Below are 16,668 nucleotides of genomic sequence, written 5' to 3'. Positions count from 1 at the left end.
TGAATTCCTTCAAGGAAGTGACAATTTAGATATTCCATTTACTCTGCCCCAAAGGATGGACTTTGCACTATTTATCTTAGCCGTCTCCCACTGGAGCCAAAAACATTTCCAACTTCATAAGTTTCACTGCTTCTCCTCTTTTATATATTTTTTCACTCTTTGCTGAAAACATTTTCATTGTTTTTTGAAAAGTGCATTCTAATAGTTAATTTGGGAGCCCATGGCCTTAACACAGAAGAAAGAATACCGAATACAATGATAGGATATCAAACAGCATGGTCTCTTCCTTGTGTTAGAGTGTGTAAATTCAATACGCCGTGTTGACTCAGTATTCAGGAATGCCAAAGAGAGGGATTATTTGGTAATGTATTTTCATGGAGACCCGGGGACGGTGCTGTACTACAGAACACCTCACTGGCCCGGGCTGGGTGCAGGTAGGATGGAGATAGACCGGCCCCACCCCCTTGGTAACTGCTCCTTGCAGATCAGCTGTTTGAAGCTCTCCGGGCACCCAAGACGTTCTTGTTCAAGCCTGTGCGCTTCCCCTGCTAGTTCTCATCTCCCTTCTCTCAACACTTTTTCCGTGACCCTCCCTGAAAGGGAGTTTTGGGCTTGGCTCACCCTGGAAAGCAGCTAATCCCACATGTTGCCAACAGGTTAATGAAGGATGAGGCTGAAGGAGGAAAAATTTGCCAAACTCCTTTCCCCTAAAGAGCCGCCCCTTCAGAAACACCTTAAAATCCAACCTCCCGGGTCAAAGACATTTGAAAAAATGACGAAGACAACATCAAACTATAGTCTCCTGTTCAACGCATGTTCACTTCCTAAGACATTAAAGAAACCAGGCCGGGTGTGGTGGCTCATACCTGTCATCCCAGCACTGTGGAGGCCGAGGCGGGAGGATCACCTGAGATCAGGAGTTCAAGACCAGCCTTGCCAACATGGTGAAACCCCCTCTCTACTAAAGATACGAAAAAATTAGCTGGGCATAGTGGCAGTCACCTCTAATCCCAGCTACTCAGGAGGCTGAGGCAGCAGAATCACTTGAATCAGAGAGGTGGAGGTTGCAGTGAGCTGAGATCGCACCACTGCACTCCAGCCTGGGCAACAGAGCAAGATTCTGTCTCAAAAAAAAAACAAAACAAAAAAACAAAACAAAAAAACCCAATTAACATTCTTTCACCCCGGATTTCCTAGTCTTTATTTTAGCTATAACAAGCAAAACACCTCTTTCCATCCTTCTAAAGGCGTGTTCCTGAAACCTCACTTGGAGAGTTTTACGGAAGTGCAGTGAGAGGAGTAAGAAATCCTGAGCACACAGCCAACTAACGCAGGAACAGAAAACCAAAGACCCCATGTTCTCCTTCATAAGTGGGAGTTGAACAATGAGAACGCATGGACACAGGGAGGGGAACATCCCACACCAGGGCCTGTCGAGGGGTTGAGGGGGCAGGGCAGGGAGAGCATTAGGAGAAATACCTAATGTAGATGATGGGTTGATGGGTGCAGCAAACTGCCATGGCACGTGTATACCTATGTAACCAACCTGCACATTCCGCACATGTGCCCCAGAACTTAAAGTAGAATTAAAAAAAAGAAACAGAAAGAAATCCTGAGCACGTAGTAGGAACCACGGTCTGTGATCACGTGCATCGTGCAGTCTGTGTGTGCACACTGGGATGTTTCCAGCATAAAAGCTCCTTCGAAAATTCGTTTCCATCCTGACATTTTAATGCACATTTTTTATGCTTATGCTATTCTCAGCTCTCACGTGCAAATTACACCAGCAGGTGCCCCGGGTCCCTGTCACTATTGAAAAGTAGAATGTCAAATGCATTTGTACTTTTTGCCAATGCAGGCTAAAGAAAATGACTCTTAAATGGATAGCTTTAGTCTGCCAAAATGGCTGTCAAGTTAGACGCTAGGATAAAGGGAAAGTCCATCAAAGGCACATTTCAGATTTGTGTTATACTTCTCTTAAAACCTCTTTTTTTTTTTGCAGTTAATAGTTTCTGGATAATCCTACAAGTCACCGTATCTTTTTTTTCTTTTTCCTTTTAGCTGGAAATAATGACAGCAAAGCCAAACAAGTTGTAAGCAAAATAAAAGAAGAAACCTTGAACGACAAAGGTACCGAGAGATACTCCAATGGCTTTTTTTTGTTTTTTTTTTTCCTTGGGACAGGTCGTTTGCGTGGTTCATGGCTGAGCTTCAGTCACGTGCCAGGTGGCATTTGGGAGAGATGGCTCTGATTTTTGCACTCTTCTTTTGGGGATTTCTGGCCCCATCCTAGAGCAGGAGATGGTCAAGGCAAGGCGAAGATAGCATCACTCAGCTCTGACATCTGCTAGGAAAGGCATGCAGATGTGCTGGTAGCTTGCACTCTTACTCAAATGTGTGTTCCCCAGGGAACAGGAGCCATTGTCCTTTCCTGTTGACCTCCAGGGCACATGCCAGGAGGTGCCTCTGCTGGTTGGGAGTTCTTGACTTAAGATAAATCAGGCCGGGCGCAGTGGCTCGCGCCTGTAATCCCAGCACTTTGGGAGGCTGAGGCGGGTGGATCACGAGGTCAGGAGTTGGAGACCAGCCTGGCCAACATGGTGAAACCCAATCTCTACTAAAAATACAAAAATTAGCCAGGCATGGTGGCATGTGCCTGTAATCCCAATGACCCAGGAGGCTGAGGCAGGAGAATCGCTTGAATCTGGGACTGCCTGGGAGAGAGAGCAAGACTCCGTCTCAAAAAAAAAAAAGAAAGAAAGAAAAAAAGATAAATCAAACAGGAATATGCTTGCCCTTAAGATTTTCGACCAGGTGCTAGACCAAATTCTGGTGTGCTCTTTCTGTCTGTTCACACTAAGGAAGGTGTGCACACAACTTTCTAATATCCATCTAGATTCTCAATGCTCTGTCCTTTTATTTATTTATTATTTTATTTTTCATTTGTATACAGGTAGGGAGTGCAAGTACAGTTTTGTTAACATGGATGAATGGCGTAGTGGTGAGGTCTGGGCTTTTAGTATAGCTAACACCTGAATCACGTACATTGTACCCGAGAGGTAATTTCTCATCCCTTGCTCCTCTTCCACCTCCCACCCTTCTGAGTCTCCAGTCTCTGTTATTCCACTCTTTCCATGTGGACACATTATTTAGCTCCTGCTTATAAGTAAGAATGTAGGAGGTCGGTCAGGGTGGTAGGAAAAATTGTAGAAGATGCAAACCTTCTTGGGAGGCCAGAAGGTTTTGCAAATGCTCCCGAATAAGATTTGGCTGAAGGCAGCCAGATTCTCTTATCCAGTGCCTGAAAGCTTAGGTTAGATAACGAGGGGATGTAAAGAAACTGATCTAGATAAGTTAGTTTGCTTAGGCCTCAGAACCTGGCCTTTAATCATCCACGCACAGAACTACTCTCTCCCTCTCTCCGGGTTGCGGGGGACGACCATATGAATTGCCCACGAATGTGTTGACTCAAGGCCTTTGTCATTAAATGTATACTAAATAAAGGCCCACAGCAGCAGCTTGTCAAAGCCGTGGCTGCTGACTCTTTAAAACACCCTCCTCAGTGTCTGTGAGTGGCCCCATCCCCTAGCCCACGCTTTCACTGGAAATCTGTGTCTGAGTGCATTTGTTCATCCGTCGCTCAGCCAAAGTCTGCGAGTCGGACCCAGCAAATTGGACTCGACCTAAGAAGAATGGTATTTGACTTTCGGTTTCTGAGTTATGTCCCTTAGGGTAATGGCCTCCAGTTCCATCTGTGTTGCTGCAGGAGATAGGATTTCCTCCTTTTTCATGGCTGCATAGTATTCCATCAGGTATAGATATATATTTTCTTTATGCTTTCGTGTGTTGTTGGACACCTAGGTTGTTTCCATATCTTGGCTCCTGTGAATAGTGCTGCAATGCACATAGGAATGCAGGCATCTCTTTGATACACTGATTTCATTTGCTTTGAGTCTGTGCCTAGCAGTGGAATTGCTGAATTATGTGGTGCTTTTATTTTTAATGATTTGAGGAACTTCTGTACTGTTTTTCATAGTGACTGTACTAATTGACATTCCCACCAGTGGTGTACAAGGGCCCCCTTTTCTCTACACCCTCCCCAACACTTGTAATTAACTGTAGAAATCATCATTCTGGCCAGCGTGGTGGCTGGCACCTGTAATCCCAGCACTTTGGGAGGCCGAGGCGGGTGGATCACCTGAGGTCAGGAGTTCGAGACCAGCCTGGCTAACATGGTGAAACCTCGAGTCTACTAAAAATACAAAAATTAGCCGAGCGTGGTGGCAGGGGCCTGTAACCCCAGCTACTCAGGAGGCTGAGGCAGGAGAATTGCTTGAACCTGGGAGTTGGAGGTTGCAGTGAGCTGAGATCACACCTTTGCACTCCAGCCTGGGTGACAGAGCAAGACTCTGTCTCAAAGAAAAAAAAAAACAAAAAACAAAAAAACACAAACAAAAACACCCTTCTGACAATATCCATTTTAGCTGGTGTGAGATAGTAGCTCATGGTGGTTTTCATTTGCATTTCCCTGATGATTAGTGATGTTGAGTACCTTTTCTTTGTTTATTTTTTTGTTTCTTTTTGAGACGGAGTCTCACTCTGTCACCTAGGCTGGAATGCAGTGGTGCGATCTCGGCTCACTGCAACCTCCGGCTCCCAGGTTCAAGCGATTCTTCTGCCTCAGCCTCCTGAGTAGCTGAGATTACAGGCATTGGCGACCATGCCCAGCTAATTTTTGTATTTTTAATAGAGACGGGGTTTCGCCATGTTGGCCAGGCTGGTCTCGAACTCCTGACCTCGTGATCCGTTCGCCTCAGCCTCCCAAAGTGTTGGGATTACAGGCGTGAGCCACTGCACCCGGCCGACTACCTTTTCCTATAAGCACCTTTTCATATACCTGTTGGCCATCCAAATGCTAAGTGCTTTTCTCGGCCATGTTTATGTGTGGTACCTTATTTTTTTTTTTTTTTTAAATGCACATCCCTTCCTTGGCTGTTTGAATTTGAGATGGTGTTTTGAGAATTCCCCCAAGTGGGGGATGGGTGTATTTTGATTCTTTATTTGTTTGTTTGTTTTTTGATACAGGGTCTCACTCTGTTGCCCAGGCTGGAGTACAGTGGTGTTATCTCGGCTCACTGCAACCTCCGCCTCCCAGGCCCAAGTGTTTCTCCTGCCTCAGCCTCCCCAGTAGCTGGGAATACAGGTGTGCAGCACCACACCCAGCTACTCTTTGTAGAGTTGGGGTTTTGCCTTGTTGCCCAGGTTCATCTTGAACTACTGGGTTCAAGCGGTCCATTCACCTCGGCCTCCCAAAGTGCTGGGATTATAGGTGTGAGCCACTGTGCCTGGCCTATTTTGATGATGATGACGATTATTATTAATATTTTGAGACAGAGTCTCACTCTATCACCCAGGCTGGAGTGCAGCAATGTGATCTCGGCTCACTGCAACCTCTGTGGCCCGGGTTCAAGCGATTCTCCTGCCTCAGCCTCCCGAGTAGCTGGGATTACAGGCGCCCACCCACCAAGCCCGGCTAATTTTTGTATTTTTAGTAGAGACGGGGTTTCACCATCTTGGCCAGGCTGGTCTTGAACTCCTGACCTCATGATCCACCCGCCTCAGCCTCCCAAAGTGCTGAGATGACCGGTGTGAGCCACCGCGCCCGGCCTTGATTCTTTTTAAAGCCATGAGAGTGAAATGAACGCTACACAGAGCTGAGCCTGGTCACTGCCTATGCCCCTATCTCCTCCTTTCTACCCTAAGCTGCTGTGAAACACCTTGTTATTACCTCTGCCAAGGGCTGGGGTATGTTGAAATTTCATAGCCGGCATTGCAGGATCCCTGTGATTTTCAGGAACACACTCCCACAGGGGCTCCCGCTCAGCCAGAGCCAAGCCCAGTGTACAATGTCACAGAGTGGCAGCAGCCTGGCCAGATCTTTTCTCCTCATTAGGATCTGCCTTGGGGCAAAAGGATTGGTTTCTGTGTAGAGGGATAATTAAGGAATTAGAGACACCGAGGGGTTGAGGAGGAATTATTTAATTATTTATTTGTACCGACCCCGTCGGATTAACATTTAAAGGACCGAGTTTTGAACAAAGAGTTTGGTTATTTTTTAAGTATTTTCTGGGGCGGGGGGAGCTCTGTGTAGGGGGAAGTATATCATAGAAGTGAGAAACAAAGACAGTTGTTTAATTGACACATGCATTATATTATTTTTTATTTTTTAAGGAATAATATGTTTTATGATTTGAGATTATTTGCCTAGTGACTTTGTAGCTGTATAGCTAGAGAAGCAGAGTTTTTATAATGCTTGGGAAAGGAAGAGACAAGGCTTATTAGCCGCAGAAAAACAGGCAGTTAATTTTTAATGGACTTCAACTCTTTCTCTTCCTCAGGGAGAACTGGGTTTTCTTACATACAACTGAGTTTTTGCTTATACATTTTTAAATTTTTTAAAATTCCTGTTTCATCTGTGACAGGGGGTCCTATTCCCTGCCACCTTGGCCCTTCCTCATTTGCAGCAGGTTTTCAAAGGAGTGGCATTTTCTAACACAATGAATCCAAAAGTGCCTTCTCCGGGCCTGTCACATCAGCATTTCCGGGGAGTAAACAAGAAATGCAGGTGCCCAGGGCCCATCTGTGAATCGGGGCCTCTGGGGGTGGGGGCGGGGCCCTGGAATCTGCATTCTTATGAGGCCGTTAAATGATCCCCACGCACCTTCAAATGGTACACTTGCTGCTGTCCTGAAGGCATTCAACCATCAATCTGGAGCCCAAAGAGAAGTTTCTGGAAACTGACAAGTGAGGCATTCTTTTCTCATGACTTTTTGCTTTTAATCTGAACGGCTTAAAAACTATATATAGTTCCCCAAAATTCACATATGTGATCCACCTAACCAAAATGACAGCCAAGAAACAATGATTTATAATCACCAACTTAATTTTATTAGATTCTGAAAATGTTTCAGATTTAGACAACATGAATTTTGACCAATAATTTTTTTTTTTTTTTTTTGAGACAGAGTTTCACTCTTGTTGCCCACGTTAGAATGCAGTGGTGTGATCTCGGCTCACTGCAACCTCCGCCTCCCGGGTTCAAGCGATTCTCCTGCCTCAGCCTCCCGAGTAACTGGGATCACAGACACCCACCACCAGGCCCGGCTAATTTTTTGTATTTTTAGTAGAGATGGGGTTTCACCGTGTTAGCCAGGCTTGTCTCAAACTCTTGACCTCAGATATCCACCCACCTCAGCCTCCCAAATTGCTGGGATTACAGGCGTGAGCCACTGCATCTGACCACAATAACAAATCATTGCTGTTTTCTTGGAAAAGTTTGTGTAGGATATTCGATCATCAGTTTTTAAAGTGCAGTGTTTTGTGGACAAGTAGCATGACGAATACATGATTTGTCCCCACCATTAAAAAATGTTAGTTTACTTGTGGCATATAAATACCGATGGCCTTTAAGCCAATCTTACAGAAAAGAAGAAAAGAATCGTTTGCACTTTCTGTGGCTGTTTAAAAGCTTTACCATCTTGTAAGAGGGTGGGAAGATGGGGTGTGCCGTGGAGATGGTTAATGGGCACAAAAATATACTTTAGATAGAATGAGTAAGGTCTCGTATTTGATAGCACAAAAGGGTGACTACAGTCAACAATCCTTCATGGTCCATTTAAAAATAACTAAAAGTTGCTGGACATGGTGGCTCACCCCTGAATCCCAGCACTTTGGAAAGCCGAGGCAGGTGGATGACTTGAGGTCAGGAGTTCGAGACCAGCCTGGCCAACATGGTGAAACCCCGTCTCTACTAAAAACACAAAAATTAGCCGGGCGTGGTGGTGCACACCTGTAGTCCCAGCTACTTGGGAGGCTGAAGCAGGAGAATTGCTTGAATCTGGGAGGCGGAGGTTGCTGTGAGCTGAGATTGTGCCACCGCACTCCAACCTGGACTACAGAGACTCCATCTCAAAAAAAAAAAAAAAAAAAAAGAAACCAATTAAAGGTGTAATTGGAATGTTAGTGACACAAACAAGTGATGAATGCTCGAGGGGATGGATACCCTATTTGCCCTGATGTGAGTATTACACATTGCATGCCTGTATCAAAATACCTCATTATCCCATAAATATATACACCTACTATGTGTGCATGCAATTTTTTTTTTTAAAAGAAAAAAGTTTAAAATCTGAACAGGTTTGGACATTCATCAGTGGTGGCCCTGGTATGTCCACTGCTGGGGGACTCTCCAGTCCTTGATAGATGATGCTGAGGCCCAGCTGGGTGGGGACATTTCGGCTGTGGCCATTGAGCCTTTACCTCGACTGAGTCTGCCTCCAGGCTCAGGAGCCCCCAGATCCGTGGTCCAGCCACACGGCAGGGTCTGCCCTCTGCCTGTGAGTGGTATCTGCTGCCCACAACATCTTATGGACGACCACAGCTCCTACAGGCATCCCTTCCCTCCTCAGCTGAGACCTGGGCACACCTCCACCAAACCCGTACGAACCTTGCTCTAAATTGTGCTTCTCTCTGGACTGGCCTGCACCTGCTGGAACTCTGATTCTTGTCCCCACAACCTCCAGTTGCCCAGCGAGGGACAGAGGGAGCTGAATGTGCTGTTTCGTTCTTGCTCTGCTGGGATCCCGGCATCGGGTAACCCCGGTTCAGCCATGTGGATTTATTTTTAAGCAAGTCGGCTCACGTCCTGACTCCAGGAGCACAGATTGCTGTGGAGTGTCAGTCACACAATTATTTCAACATGCTGGGCGCCTGTCTAGCCTGCTTTCCCCTCCTGCCTTTCCTGCTCTCAATTCTCTCTCCTTAGTTCTTGGGTTAATACTCTGGCCTGCGTACTTTGTTGTACTTTCTGTCTTTGAAGTCGTGCTCCTCTGAGATCCCACGCTGGGCAGGGCATGGGAAGCTACGTGCCCACAGAAGGACGGCTAATTGAGCTCTCGGAATTATAAATGCGCGATTGTTTTCAGGAATCTGGGCGAGATGGCTCATTTCCCAAGCTAGGGATTTTCCAGGGAAGCGTTTTCACTCCTTATCATCACTTAGCCATTGTGCCCACACCTTTGTGGCTCCTGGGTAATTATGTGCTGATGAAAGCTGTCTTACTTAGAACAAATAGTCTCATTCACTTACCGAAACTCCTCCAAATATAAATAAATCAAACCCCAGCGGCTCCATGAAAGCAAACACAGAAAGGCATAGCCGTGTTCAAATGAACTCAGATGGGGAGAGATAACCAGTTAAACACTCTTAAAAGCACTGAAGGCAGGCCCATTCTCTTTTGCAGCTCGTACATGCCATGGTGGAACCCCTGTAATCCTAAATCCTAAGAGAGATCAGACTAGACACGTGCTGTGTATCCTCTTTGGAAGGTGCACGGTGTCCTCATTTTCTATAATGATTGTGTAACTTTAATCACAAACAGCATCTTCTGATTCATTTAGCTTCCTGGCTAGGCACGATGGCTCACGCCTGTCATCCCAGCTCTTTGGGAGGCCTAGGCGGGCAGATAGCTTGAGGTCAGGAGTTTGAAACCAGCCTGGCCAACACGGTGAAACCCCATCTCTACTAAAAATATAAATGTTAGTCAGGTATGGTGGCGGGTGCCTGTAATTCCAGCTACTCAGGAGGCTGAGGCAGGAGAATGGCTTGGACCCGGGAGGCGGAGGTTTGCGGTGAGCCGAGATCATGCCACTGCACTCCGGCCTGGGCGACAGAGAAAAACTTCATCTAAAAAAAAAAAAAAAAAAAAGCTTCCCAAATATTATTCTTCCAGTAGCTTGTGCCGTCTTCATCAGAAGAGGGACTAGCTGTTTGGTTCATGTGCTTCCACCCAGTTATTAGACCAAGTTTGTTTTCAATAAAAGAAATCACTGGTCAATGCCTTCTGTAATTGATGGGTGTCAAGAAGGTAAATTTTGCACGCCGCCTTGGGAGGCACTTCTACTTTGAAAATAGATCTTTGTGAACCATCATTTTGGCCTATCCAATGACCTATAAAATACTTGAATTTATCATGAAAACAGAATACTGTGAAATCAGGATGAAGGTTGATAACAGGTCATCAACGTAATTGAGTAGATTGAAAATACAAGAGTCAGTGAAGTGTAGGATGAATGCTTGTTGTCAGTAAGAGAGCTCTTTGTGACCCGTTCCACGTGCAAGAGATGAGGGTTGTTGTTTTGGGAATACTCACCCTCCTCATCGCCTGTCCCTGCTAAAATCAGAGCTTTGTGAGGGCAGAGATGGATTCTGTGCACAGGTATCTTCTGAGTCTCTGATTCAGTGCCTGAAACACAGTGGCTCCCGAGACAATCTACCTCAGTGCCTGTTTTACAGGCTCACCTGTGACACATGACTGGGACATATGTTATTCATGATGACATGCAAGAGTCTCTGTGTAGGTGTCTACTGGTCTTCATCATCAAACAGAGCGAGAACTCCAAGTCAGGAGGCAGACATATCTTGGGGCAAGAAGACACCTAGAATTTTTCTTCAACCTGTAGACTTTCGGATTGGGTAGAAGGATTGTTAAGGAGGTTGCGAAACTTGGAAAAAGGATGATGTGAGTGTTGATGGCATGGAATTCTCCCCACACCCCTGGGTATCCATTTTTAATGTACAGAATTCTTGTGACATGATTTTAGGGCATAGAATCCTTGAGAGATCATGTCTGTGCTGAAGTTGGAATCACAGCACTTTATGTGAATGTGTTCGCCAACGATTAATTATGTTTATTCCCGAGAAGTTTTAACCAGATTGTGGATGTGTATTCTGGTTCAGCATATATTCACAATTACCTTTGTTTTTTGTTTTGTTGTTTTGGAGACAAGGTCTTGCTCTGTCACCCAGGTTGGAGTGCAGTGGTGTGATCATAGCTCACTGCAGCCTCAAACTCCTCAGTAGGAAACTTCCTACCCCAGCCTCCCGAGTAGCTGGGACTAGTAGCATGCACCACTACACATGGCTAATTTTGTTTTTTAAATTTTTTCTAGAGACGGGGTCTCATTATGTCGCCCAGGCTGGTCTCAAACTCCTGGCCTCAGGCGATCCTCCCACCTTCCAAAGTGCTGGGATTACAGGTGTAAGACACCAAGCTCAGCCCCTGTGTTTTTTTGTTTTTTTTTTTTTTTTTGCTTTTTGTTTGTTTGTTTTGAGACGGAGTCTTGCTCTGTTGCCCAGGCTGGAGTGCAGTGGTGCGATCTTGGCTCACTGCAACCTCTGACTCCCTGGTTCAAGCCATTCTCCTGCCTCAGCCTCCCAAGATGCTGGGATTACAGGCGTGCACCATCACACCCAGCTAATTTTTTGTATTTTTAGTAGAGACAGGGATTCACCGTGTTAGCCAGGATGGTCTTGATCTCCTGACTTTGTGATCTGCCTGCCTTGGCCTCCCGAAGTGCTGGGATTACAGGCGTGAGCTATCACGCCTGGCCTGTGTTTTTTTTTTTTTTAAACATAAAATGGCCCTTATTGACTGTTTTCCTTTTCATAGTGAGTCCTTTTGTTTCTTTCATGTTTTCGAGAAGTGTCCCGAGTCAGGCTGTAGACAGGCATATGCGTAGATAAACAGATAGACTCATGCGTTCCTGTTGGTAATTTTTCCTTGAGGTCACCGTATGTGTTCTCATGCGTGGGCATAGATGTCCCACACTCTCTGAAAGTTTAATTGGTCCTCGCAGGTCTCATTGTGTTCCTTCTCTTCAGGGCTCTTCATATCTCAGGGTGGTAATAACCTTCCAAATCTCTATGGCCGAGGCGGGCAGATCACGAGATCAGGAGATCGAGACCATCCTGGCTAACACAGTGAAACCCCGTCTCTACTAAAAGTACAAAAAAAATTAGCTGGGCTTGGTGGCGGGTGCCTGTAGTCCCAGCTACTCGGGAGGCTGAGGTGGGAGAATGGCGTGAACCCGGGAGGGGGAGCTTGCAGTGAGCCGAGATCGCGCCACTGCACTCCAGCCTGGGCGACAGAGCGAGACACCGTCTCCAAATAAATAAACAAATAAATAGAAATACAAAAATTAGCCAGGCATGGTGGCGCATGCCTGTAATCCCAGCTACTCAGGAGGCTGATGCAGGAGAATTGCTTGAACCTGGGAGGCGGAGTTTTCAGTGAGCCGAGATCGCACCACTGCACTTCAGCCTAGGTGACACAGCGAGAGTCCATCTCAAAAAAAAAAAAAAAAAGGAATATGCATTTAACGTTTCTTTGCGTCTTTTCGTGGCTCGATAGAGCCCAGTATATATTTTCACTAAAGAGCAAAAGCGCCTTTCCATGGGCCTTTAAATACTTAAGAATAAGCACATCCACACATGGGCCTCCCAGATAGTCGGTGCGTTTCCAGAAATGACGGTGTGTTGTGGTTCACAGCCTCTTTGGGTTTTGGTCTCCAACTCCCAGCCTCAGGCGATCCTCCTACCTGAGCCTCCCAAAGTGCTGGGATGACAGGCACAGTGAGCCACCATACCCAGCTATTTTTTGAAAACTCATAGTCTCATATTTCCCTAATATTTAGGGTTAGGGCTAGAGTTAGGTAGAGGTTAGAGGTGCTCTGACGAGTGTTTCCCAAGTCTTGGAGCCCACCTCTGGCCAAATCACCGCCTGCAGTTGGAAGCAAGGCTGTTTCTGAGATGAGTCATACTGACATATTTTGCTATTGAATGCACGGTTGCCCTGATCCATTCAGAGATACTTCTGCAGCACCATGAGCTCCTTAATCCCTGCCCCTGTTCACCTACAAGGGTCTGCAAGCGAGCCCCCTTCCGCAACTCATCTCTTTGTGTAATCCTTCTCCAGACCCTGAATATATCAGCCTGTTGGCATATGTATCTATGTGTGTGAGATCAGCCTGTTGGCATATGTATCTATGTGTGTGAGATCAGCCTGTTGGCATATGTATCTATGTGTGTGTGTGTGTGTGTGTGTGCGCGCTCTGAGGATATTGGCACTTTTTAATCTTCTTCCATTAGACGACAAGGCTGAGGGCTTCCACTTGCCGCCGACTTGCCGGCACACCTGGGGCATGTTTAATAAGTAATTGTGTATGGTCTGCTTTGCAAATGCGCTACTTCACATTTTTCCATCCCGCCCGTAACGAGGACTGGGGTTGTTTTACAAGTTAATTACCCAAAAGATTATCGAGTGGGTTTAGAGGCACAAATTCTACGCGCTATTTAACAGATAAGAATTAATGAGTGTTGTTAAAATGGGAAAAAAAAAATGTCTCTGTCAGTGGAGGGAGTTATCTCTACCCTGCCTGGCTGTGTTACTGTTGTTTTTTTTTTTGTCTGTGAATGAGAACCGAGGTAGAGAAACAAGGCGAGTGTTCTCATTGCTCTTCTCCCACCAGAGCACAGGCGGCACGTGTGAAAATAACTATTCACAGTTTCTTTCCCACCGTGTCTCAAGAGGGGTGAATGCCAGGGTCGGGCCCGGTGGCTCACGCTTGGAATTCCAGCACTTTGGGAGGCTGAGGCAAGAAGATTGCTTGAGGCCAGGAGTTCGACAGCAGTCAGGGTGGCGTAGAGAGACTCCGTCTCTACAAAATATTAACAAATCAGTCTGGCTTGGTGGGGTGCACTGTGGTCCCAGCTACTCGGGAGGCAGAGGCAGGAGGATCGCTTGAGCCCAGGACTTCAAGACCAGCCTGGGCAACATGGCAAGACCTTGTCTCTACAACTAAATAAAAAAATTAGTCAGGCGTGGTGTGCGTGCCTGGAGTCTCAGCTACTCAGGAGGCTGAGGCAGGAGGATCGTTTGAGCCTGGAGGTCAAGGCTGTGGTGAGCCATGATCGCGACCCTGTACTTTAGCTTGGGCGACAGAGCAAGACCCTTTTCTCTAAATAAAAATGGAATAATAGTAAAAAGAAGCTGAATTTCAGCTGTTTTCAGCCATTCTCTTTATTCCTTCAAATGCCTCTGTATTCTGCAGTATCCTTTAAAATATTAAGAGCAATTTTAGCTAATCAGGAGGCTGAGACAGGAGAATCGCTTGAACCCAGGAGGCGGAGGTTGTGGTGAGCCGAGATCGTGGTATTGCGCTCCGGCCTGGGCAACAAGAGTGAAACTCCATCTCAAAAAAAAAAAAAAAAGGGAGACACAGATAAGGCCATGTGGAGACAGAGACTGGAGTGATGCGGCCATCAACTTAGGGATACCAGGAGCTGGAAGAGGCAGGAAGGATGCCCCCTAGAGTCTTCAGAAAGTATCAGACACCTTTGGGAGGCCAAGGCGGGTGGATTGCTTGAGGCCAGGAGTTCGAGACCAGCCTGGCCAACATGGTGAAACCTCATCTCTACTAAAAATACAAAAATTAGCCAGGCGTGGTGGCGGGAGCCTGTCATCCCAGCTCCTCGGGAGGCTGAGGCTGGAGAATGGCTTGAACCCGGGAGGCTGAGGTTGCAGTGAGCTGAGATATTGCCAATGCACTCCAGCCTGGGAGACAGAGCATGATTCTGTCTCAAAAAAAAAAAAAAAAAAAAGAAAAAGAAAGAAAGCATCAAACACAATTGCAAGGGGTTGAATGCTGATCTCCAAAAGATATGTCCATGTCCTAATCCCCAGAACCTGTGAACAGGAACTTATTTGGAAATAGGGTCTTTGCAGATGTAATTAGTTAAGGATCTCAAGATGAGATCATTCTGGATTAGGGTGAGTCTTAAATCCAATGATAGCTGTCCTTGTAGGAGACAGGAGAGGAGACACAGACACAGAGGAGAAGGCCTTGTGGAGACAGAGGCAGAGACTGGAGCGATGCGGCCACAAACCCAGGGACTCCTGGAGCCCCCAGGAACTAGGAGAGGCAGGGAGGCCCCTTCCTGAGAGCCCCCGGAGGGAGCATGGTCCTGAGACACCTGATCTCAGACTTTTGGTCTCCAGAGCCAGTAGAGGATGAATTCCTGTTGAATTAAGTTCCCCAGGTGTGGTCATTTGTCACAGCAGCCTCGGGAGACGAGTAGAGACATAGATCGGGCAGGAATAGAATATCTAGTTGCATTGCTGATAGAGGCATACTACAGCTGTGTGACATGGTGTGACATCAGCACACTGTGTCCTGACCCCAGGTCATGGGACAAGAACTTGGGGAGACATAGTCACCCCCCTGGCTCATCAGGGAAATGCATGGCTTCCGGTAAGGTGACCCTGAACATGCGTGTGTCACTCTGAAGTGTTGGCCTCAGACTCTGCCTCCAAATTCCAAGTCCCCTGGGGGTTCCGCTGGAGGTGGACACGCCCCCATCCATGCCTTCCTTGCAGTCACGGGAACATCCCTTACTCAGTCCTCTCTGGTCACCGATGGGGCATGACAGGAGGCGCTACATGTTTCCAAGCAGCCGGGGTTCCAGATGCTTGGAAATTCTGCGTGCGGCCTCTCTATGGGAAAAAGGGAGGTCTGCCAGGAGTGGAACCCCAGTGAGAAAGTAAACTCAAAACAGAAATGAAAGGTTTCTAGACACAGTACAAGCCCCCTTTGTGGTGCGCGCAGGGACTTACGTAGCTCGGCCCCTCCACCCCCTGGCTGGCCCCAGTGGCCGAGGTGTGTTGGGTGCTGATCTGTGACACCCTCCTGCTTCACACGGGCAGGGAGGGGTTCTGGAGAGAGTGCAGGTGGGCTGGAGAGCTGAGCTCCCTGCAGCAGGTGAGTGTGAGTCCTGAACAGACTCGTTCCAAGGAAACAGGTGCAGGAAAGAACACAGGTCTTGGAGGAATCAGGGTTGAGCCAGCCCTGTGACCTCGGGCTGTCCTTGGCCCCAGTGATGGCTTATCTTTACCTGGAACTTCAACCTCTTATCATCACCTATAACGCTGACCACTGATCCTCACCTGGGACTCGAACCTCTCCCCATCACCTGTAACTCGGACCACTTGTCCTCACCTAGGACTCCAACCTCCCTCCATCACCTGTAATGCTGACCACTCATTGTCACCTGGAAGTCCAACCTCTCATCACTACCTGGAACTCCAACTCCAACTCTTTTTTTTTTTTTTCATGAGACGGAGTCTCACTGTGTTGCCCAGGCTGGAGTGCAGTGGCACAATCTCGGCTCACGGCAACTTCCGCCTCCCAGGTTCACGCCATTCTCCCGCCTCAGCCTACTGAGTAGCTGGGACTACAGGCACGTGCCACCACGCCCATCTAATTTATGTATTTTTAGTAGAGATGGGGTTTCACCATGTTGGCCAGGACGGTCTCGATCTCTTGACCTTGTGATCTGCCCGCCTCAGCCTCCCAAAGTGCTGGGATTACAGGCGTGAGCCACTGTGCCCGGCCCCAACTCCAACTCTTATCCTCATCTGTAGCTCTAACCTGTTATCCTCACGTGTAAATGTGATGTCATCCTCACCTGTAGCTGTAATCTCATCTTCACCTGGCATTCTGACCTCTTACCCTCACCTGTAGCTCTAACCGGCTATCCTCACCGATAGCTCTGACATCATATCACCTGTAGCTGTAACCTCGTCCTCACCTGGAACTCTGACCTGGCTGACGTGCTTGCAGCATGTGGGTGGGGCCGATTTCCCTCCTGCCCCAGCTCCCTGCTGCTGCCAAGTCCAGGTCTCTCCTGTGGGGCAGGTATACCCCTCCCTGGGTCTCAGCTGGGCCCACTGGCCTTCACAGGGAGCCTGCTGTCTGCACTCCCATTCTTGTC

General features: G+C 47.3%; 1 protein-coding gene across 1 annotated transcript in view; it reads left to right on the top strand.

Moving 5' to 3' along the window:
- Nucleotides 1–16,668, top strand: part of DHRSX (dehydrogenase/reductase X-linked) — a 281,471-nt gene that overhangs the window by 90,102 nt on the left and 174,701 nt on the right. The window contains exon 3 of the mRNA NM_145177.3: nt 2,062–2,130. Coding sequence (NP_660160.2) covers nt 2,062–2,130 — 69 coding nt within the window. The remainder of the gene's footprint in view (nt 1–2,061; nt 2,131–16,668) is intronic.

The sequence above is a fragment of the Homo sapiens genome, chromosome Y (genome assembly GCF_000001405.40).
Source record: "Homo sapiens chromosome Y, GRCh38.p14 Primary Assembly".
Lineage (NCBI taxonomy): Eukaryota > Metazoa > Chordata > Mammalia > Primates > Hominidae > Homo > Homo sapiens.
Note: the sequence above shows the minus strand (reverse complement) of the source record. Positions and strands in the feature narration are given on the sequence as shown.